The sequence below is a fragment of the Homo sapiens genome, chromosome 5, assembly GCF_000001405.40.
Source record: "Homo sapiens chromosome 5, GRCh38.p14 Primary Assembly".
NCBI lineage: Eukaryota > Metazoa > Chordata > Mammalia > Primates > Hominidae > Homo > Homo sapiens.
In genome coordinates this window covers 58,213,864-58,221,894 of record NC_000005.10, presented here as the reverse complement: position 1 = coordinate 58,221,894, position 8,031 = coordinate 58,213,864, and the positions used below count along the sequence as shown (strand labels likewise).

The 8,031-nt window shown below is 40.9% G+C and overlaps 1 long non-coding RNA gene across 1 annotated transcript in view; it reads left to right on the top strand.

Moving 5' to 3' along the window:
• Positions 1 to 2,994: 2,994 nt before the first annotated feature.
• Positions 2,995 to 8,031, top strand: part of LOC105378983 (uncharacterized) — a 32,196-nt gene continuing 27,159 nt past the window's right edge. Inside the window, exons 1-2 of the long non-coding RNA XR_948350.2 lie at positions 2,995 to 3,032; positions 6,039 to 6,108. This is a non-coding gene — a long non-coding RNA (uncharacterized LOC105378983). The remainder of the gene's footprint in view (positions 3,033 to 6,038; positions 6,109 to 8,031) is intronic.

Genomic DNA, 8,031 nt, shown 5'->3' with positions numbered 1-8,031 from the left:
CCCCGCTCCCGCCACCCCACAACAGTCCCCGGTGTGTGATGTTCCCCTTCCTGTGTCCATGTGTTCTCATTGTTCAATTCCCACCTATGAGTGAGAATATGCGGTGTTTGGTTTTTTGTCCTAGCGATAGTTTGCTGAGAATGATGGTTTCCAGCTTCATCCATGTCCCTACAAAGGACATGAACTCATCGTTTTTTATGGTTGCATAGTATTCCATGGTGTATATGTGCCACATTTTCTTAATCCACTCTATCATTGTTGGACATTTGGGTTGTTTCCAAGTCTTTGCTATTGTGAATAGTACTGCAATAAACATACGTGTGTATGTTTATAGCAGCATGTTTTATAATCCTTTGGGTATATACCCAGTAATGGGATGGCTGGGGTCAAATGGTATTTCTAGTTCTAGATCCCTGAGGAATTGCCACACCAACTTCCACAATGGTTGAACTGGTTTACAGTCCCACCAACAGTGTAAAAGTGTTCCTATTTCTCCACATCCTCTCCAGCACCTGTTGTTTCCTGACTTTTTAGTGATCACCATTCTAACTGGTGTGAGATGGTATCTCATTGTGGTTTTGATTTGCATTTCTCTGATGGCCAGTGATGGTGAGCATTTTTTCATGTGTTTTTTGGCTGCATAAATGTCTTCTTTTGAGAAGTGTCTGTTCATGTCCTTTGCCCACTTGTTGATGGGGTTGTTTGTTTTTTCTTGTAAATTTGTTTGAGTTCATAGTAGATTCTGGATATTAGCCCTTTGTCAGATGAGTAGGTTGCAAAAATTTTCTCCCATTCTGTAGGTTGCCTGTTCACTCTGATGGTAGTTTCTTTTGCTGTGCAGAAGCTCTTTAGTTTAATTAGATCCCATTTGTCAATTTTGGCTTTTGTTGCCATTGCTTTTGGTGTTTTAGACATGAAGTCTTTGCCCATGCCTATGTCCTGAATGGTATTGCCTAGGTTTTCTTCTAGCATTTTTATGGTTTTAGGTCTAACATTTAAGTCTTTAATCCATCTTGAATTAATTTTTGTATAAGGTGTAAGGAAGGGATCCAGTTTCAGCTTTCTACATATGGCTAGCCAGTTTTCCCAGCACCATTTATTAAATAGGGAATCCTTTCCCCATTTCTTGTTTTTATCAGGTTTGTCAAAGATCAGATAGTTGTAGATATGCAGCATTATTTCTGAGGGCTCTGTTCTGTTCCATTGATCTATATCTCTGTTTTGGTACCAGTACCATGCTGTTTTGGTTACTGTAGCTTTATAGTATAGTTTGAAGTCAGGTAGCATGATGCCTCCAGCTTAGGCTTAGGATTGACTTGGCAATGCAGGTTATTTTTTGGTTCCATATGAAGTTTAAAGTAGTTTTTTCCAATTCTGTGAAGAAAGTCATTGGTAGTTTGATGGGGATGGCACTCAATCTATAAATTACTTGGGCAGTATGGCGATTTTCACGATATTGATTCTTCCTACCTATGAGCATGGAATGTTCTTCCATTTGTTTGTATCCTCTTTTATTTCATTGAACAGTGGTTTGTAGTTCTCCTTAAAGAGGTCCTTCACATCCCTTGTAAGTTGGTTTCCTAGGTATTTTATTCTCTTTGAAGCAATTGTGAATGGGAGTTCACTCATGATTTGGCTCTCTGTCTGTTATTGGTGTATAAGAATGCTTGTGATTTTTGTACATTGATTTTTGTATCCTGAGACTTTGCTGAAGTTGCTTATCAGCTTAAGGAGATTTTGGGCTGAGACCATGGGGTTTTCTAGATATACAGTCATGTCATCTGCAAACAGGGACAATTTGACTTCCTGTTTTTGTAATTGAATGCCCTTTATTTCCTTCTTCTGCCTGATTGCCCTGGCCAGAACTTCCAACACTATGTTGAATAGGAGTGTTGAGAGAGGACATCCCTGTCTTGTGCCAGTTTTCAAAGGGAATTCTTCCAGTTTTTGTCCATTCAGTGTGATGTTGGCTGTGGGTTTGTCATAGATAGCTCTTATTATTTTGAGATATGTCCCATCAATGCCTAATTTATTGAGAGTTTTTAGCATGAAGGGTTGTTGAATTTTGTCAAAGGCCTTTTCTGCATCTATTGAGATAATCATGTGGTTTTTGTTGTTGGTTCTGTTTATATGCTGGATTACATTTATTGATGTACATATGTTGAACCAGCCTTGCATCCCAGGGATGAAGCCCACTTGATCATGGTGGATAAGATTTTGATGTGCTGCTGGATTCTGTTTGCCAGTATTTTATTGAGGATTTTTGCATCGATGTTCATCAAGGATATTGGTCTAAAATTCTCTTTTTTTGTTGTGTCTCTGCCAGGCTTTGGTATCAGGATGATGCTGGCCTCATAAAATGAGTTAGGGAGGAGTCCCTCTTTTTCTATTGATTGGAATAGTTTCAGAAGGAGTGGTACCATCTCCTCCTTGTACCTGTGGTAGAATTCGGCTGTGAATCCATCTGGTCCTGGACTTATCTTGGTTGGTAAGTTATTAATTGTTGCCTCAATTTCAGAGCCTGTTATTGGTCTATTCAGAGATTCAACTTCTTCCTGGTTTAGTCTTGGGAGGGTGTTTGTGTCGAGGAATTTATCCATTTCTTCTAGATTTTCTAGTTTATTTGTGTAGAGGTGTTTATAGTATTCTCTGATGGTAGTTTGTATTTCTGTGGGATCAGTGGTGATATCCCCTTTATCATTTTTTATTGCATCTATTTGATTCTTCTCTCTTTTCTTCTTTATTAGTCTTGCTAGTGGTCTATCGATTTTGTTGATCTTTTCAAAAATACAGCTCCTGGATTCATTGATTTTTTGAAGGGTTTTTTGTGTCTCTATTTCCTTCACTTCTGCTCTGATCTTAGTTATTTCTTGCCTTCTGCTAGCTTTTGAATGTGTTTGCTCTTGCTTCTCTAGTTCTTTTAATTGTGATGTTAGGGTGTCAATTTTGGATCTTTCCTGCTTTCTCTTGTGGGCATTTAGTGCTATAAATTTCCCTCTACACACTGCTTTGAATGTGTCCCAGAGATTCTGGTAAGTTTTGTCTTTGTTCTCATTGGTTTCAAGGAACATCTTTATTTCTGCCTTCATTTCGTTATGTACTCAGTAGTCATTCAGGAGCAGGTTGTTCATTTTCCATGTAGTTGAGCGGTTTGAGTGAGTTTCTTAATCCTGAGTTCTAGTTTGATTGCACTGTGGTCTGAGAAACAGTTTGTTATAATTTCTGTTCTTTTACATTTGCTGAGGAGTGCTTTACTTCCAACTATGTGGTCAGTTTTGGAATAGGTGTGGTGTGGTGCTGCAAAGAATGTATATTCTGTTGATTTGTGGTAGAGAGTTCCATAGATGTCTGTTAGGTCCACTTGGTGCAGAGCTGAGTTCAATTCCTGGATATCCTTGTTAACTTTCTGTTTCATTGATCTGTCTAATGTTGACAGTGGGTTCTTAAAGTCTCCCATTATTATTGTGTGGGAGTCTAAGTCTCTTTGTAGGTCACTAAGGACTTGCTTTATGAATCTGGGTGCTCCTGTATTGGGTGCATATATATTTAGGATAGTTAGCTCTTCTTGTTGAATTGATCCCTTTGCCATTATGTAATGGCCTTCTTTGTCTCTTTTGATCTTTGTTGGTTTAAAGTCTGTTTTATCAGAGACTAGGATTGCAACCAACCCCTGCCTTTTTTTTGTTTTCCATTTGCTTTGTAGATCTTCCTCCATCCCTTTATTTTGAGCCTATGTGTGTCTCTGCACATGAGATGGGTCTCCTGAATACAGCACACTGATGGGTCTTGACTCTTTATCCAGTTTGCCAGTCTGTGTCTTTTAATTGGAGCATTTAGCCTATTTACATTTAAGGATAATATTGTTATGTGTGAATTTGATCCTGTCATTATGATGTTAGCTGGTTATTTTGCTCATTAGTTGATGCAGTTTCTTCCTAGCCTTGATGGTGTTTACAATTTGGCACGTTTTTGCAGTGGCTGGTGCTGGTTGTTCCTTTCCATGTTTAGTGCTTCCTTCAGGAGCTCTTTTAGGGCAGGCCTGGTGGTGACAAAATCTCTCAGCATTTGCTTGTCTGTAATGTATTTTATTTCTCCTTCACTTATGAAGCTTAGTTTGGCTGGATATGAAATTCAGGGTTGAAAATTATTTTCTTTAAGAATGTTAAATATTGGCCCCCACTCTCTTCTGGCTTGTAGAGTTTCTGCCGAGAGATCAGCTGTTAGTCTGATGGGCTTCCCTTTGTGGGTAACCTGACCTTTCTCTCTGGCTGCCCTTAACATTTTTTTCTTCATTTCAACATTGGTGAATCTGACAATTATGTGTCCTGGAGTTGCTCTTCTCAAGGAGTATCTTTGTGGCGTTCTCTGTATTTCCTGAATTTGAATGTTGGCCTGCCTTGCTAGATTGGGGAAGTTCTCCTGGATAATATCCCACAGAGTGTTTTGCAACTTGGTTCCATTCTCCCTGTCACTTTCAGGTACACCAATCAGATGTAGATTTGGTCTTTTCACATAGTCCCATATTTCTTGGAGGCTTTGTTCATTTCTTTTTATTCTTTTTTCTCTCAACTTCTCTTCTCACTTCATTTCATCTTCCATCATTGATAACCTTTCTTACAGTTGATCTCATCGGCGACTAAGGCTTATGCATTTGTCACATAGTTCTTGTGCCATGGTTTTCAGCTCCATCAGCTCCTTTAAGGACTTCTCTGCATTGGTTCTTCTAGTTATCCATTTGTCTAACTTTTTTTAAAGGTTTTTAACTTCTTTGCCATTGGTTCATACTTCCTCCTTTAGCTCGGAGTAGTTTGATCTTCTGAAGCCTTCTTCTCTCAACTCGTCAAAGTCATTCTCCATCTAGATTTCTTCCATTGCTGGTGAGGAGCTGCATTCCTTTGGAGGAGGAGAGGTGCTCTGATTTTTAGAGTTTCCAGTTTTTCTACTCTGTTTTTTCCCCATCTTTGTGGTTTTATCTACCTTTGGTCTTTGATGATGGTGACGTACAGATGGGTTTTTGGTGTGGATGTCCTTTCTGTTTGTTAGTTTTCCTTCTAACATTCAGGACCCTCAGCTGCAGGTCTGTTAAAGTTTGCTGGAGGTCCACTCCAGACCCTGTTTGCCTGGGTATCAGCAGTGGTGGCTGCAGAACAGTGGATATTGGTGAACCGCAAATGCTGCTGCCTGATCGTTCCTCTGCAAGTTTTGTCTCAGAGGAGTACCCAGATGTGTGAGGTGTCAGACCACCCCTACTGGGGGGTGCCTCCCAAGTAGGCTACTCGAGGGTCATGGACCCACTTGAGGAGGCTGTCTGCCCGTTCTCAGATCTCAAGCTGCGTGCTGGGAGAACCACTACTCTCTTCAAAGGTGTCAGACAGGGACGTTTAAGTCTGCAGATGTTACTGCTGCCTTTGTTTGTCTGTGCCCTGCCCCCATTGGTGGAGCCTACAGAGGCAGACAGGTCTCCTTGAGCTGCCGTGGGCTCCACCCAGTTGGAGCTTCCAGGCCGCTTTGTTTACCTACTCAAGCCTTGGCAATGGCGGGCGCCCCTCCCCCAGCCCACTGCCTCCTTGCAGTTTGATCTCAAACTGCTGTGCCAGCAATGAGCGAGGCTCCGTGGGCATGGGACCCTCCCAGCCAGGTGCGGGATATAATCTCCTTGTGTGCCGTTTGTTAAGCCCATTGGAAAAGCACAGTATTAGGGTGGGAGTGACCCGATTTTCCAGGTGCTGTCTGTCACCCCTTTCTTTGACCAGGAAAGGGAGTTCCCTGACCCCTTGCACTTCCCAGGTGAGGCAATGCCTCACCCTTCTTCGGCTCACGCACTGTGCGCTGCATCCACTGTCCTGCACCCACTGTCCAGCACTCCCCAGTGAGATGAACCTGGTACCTCAGTTGGAAATGCAGAAATCACCCGTCTTCTGAGTTGCTCATGCTGGGAGCTGTAGACTGGAGCTGTTCCTATTCGGCCATCTTGGCTCCAACCTCCTGAACCTTTTTTATTCTAGTGAGGTGACTGATCCTTTGTTTGGGTTTTCCAGCATGGTTTCCTGTTATGAGTTGTCCTGAAATCCCCACAGGAGCATGGAAGGACATCCTAGGCTGTCCTAGGTAAGGTAATGGTAGGTAGATACCAGGTAAGAGGGGCTAGAGTTGTCCTTGGGTCTGCTCTAGTTGGGATTTCTGAAAGATGGAGGCAGGGTGATAGGGATATTGCTGATCTTAAATCAGGAATGTGGAATTTAGGCAGGGATGTAGACTCAGGCAGCTGCAGCAGGGCCAGCCAGGAGACAGGAATACTCTGAAGGAACACTGGTTGTTTTCAACTTGATTGGCTCAGACATGCTTTTTAGATCATTTCCCTCAGCATGACTGCTGGTCTTAATGATTGGGATCAGCTCATTTAGACCTGGCTTTCCTAAAGGGGAATGAAGCATTCTTGTTCCTGAAGGTTTTTTTATTTCTCCTTGAGGGAAAGTCTCTACTTCTCTGAAAGAATTTTAGACTTTGAATTCTTTGGTTGTCAACTCCAAGAGCAGGGAGGTAATCAAAGGAGACCTTTTCCCAGCTGTGGTCTCAATCCCCAGGCCCAGGCACAAACCACACAGCTGAGGCTCAAGGCTGAACCATGAGGATCCTCATGGACAACTTCCACAGTCAGATACAATCATCTCACTAGTTAGGACGCAAGTGATTGACTTCTTTCATTAGTGTTCCTCATTATATATTCATATTTGCACCACTCATTTCTGCTCATGTTTCAGTTTGTTCTGAATAAAACACCCAGCCTTAATTTCCACTGCTACAACTTGAAATTAAATATTTTCTCTTTCAAAATATAATTTAATGTTCTTTATTTTTACCCTCCAAATTCTCATACATGGCTGGCACTGAATTATATGATTAAATAATTGGAGTGGGAGATGTGAAAAGATTGCTTGTAGAGAACACTTCAAAATTCATATCAGGGTTTATAGTTGTACACACTGAATAATTATGGCTTTTCTCCAGGTCTGAAGTAGGAGGACTCTTGAAGGATTTCTTTTCCAGTGTGTAGATGATTCAAGGGACTTTTTTTGTTCACTTCTTTTATCAGATTAATTTCATTTCTCTTTTTCTTGAACTCTAGCTTAGTAAGAAAGTAAAGATAATCAAATAGCAAAGTAAAGTTTGTTGTTGTTGTTGTTGTTATTGTTGTTGTTGTTTTTAGTTAGTCTCACTCTGTTGTCCAGGCTGGAGTGCAAGTGGCATGATCTTGTCCCACTGCAACCTCTGCCTCCCATGTTCAAGTGATTCTTGTGCCTCAGCTTCCCAAGTACCTCAGACTATAGGAGCGCACCACCACTTCAAGCTAATTTTTGTAATTTTAGTAAATACGGGGTTTCACCATAATGGCCGGGCTGATCTCAAACTTCTGACCTCAAGTGATCCACCCACCTTGGCCTCCCAAAATGCTGGGATCACAGGTGCCACTGCACCCAGCTTGCAGAAAGTTTTGATGGAAAATAACAATGCTAATAACTAAATTTAGTTATCTATATTACTTAGAAGTTGTCTTCTTTGTATTTATTAATGTGTTAATCCCATCTAGAGATCACTAGAATGCAAATACGGCATTAAATGTACACATATGGAACAACATTTTGATAGTGCTAATAGAAAAACTGGGGGAGAAAAATACTTGCTTGTGTTCATGTGTGGATTTAAGAAAAACTAACAAGATAAAGTGGCAAGATGGTTGTATTTAGAACCAGAAAATCTGGGTATGCCCCCTATCTCTTCTAGTTGCTAAAAATTTAACAACGGTCAAATGAAGGCACTTAAATTCTCTAAACCTCAGTTTACTTATGGTAAAGTGGAGCCTCAAATCCCTAGCTGTATAATTAGGTCACTGTGAAAAATGGAATAAAATAAATGTAAGTAATTTTAAAATTCAAAGGCATGAGAATGTGAAGTTATGTTATTAGAGTACCTCAGTAAAAAGTAATGTGTCCTATTTAGCTAGAAGAAACACACAGGACCTGTATGTGAAGA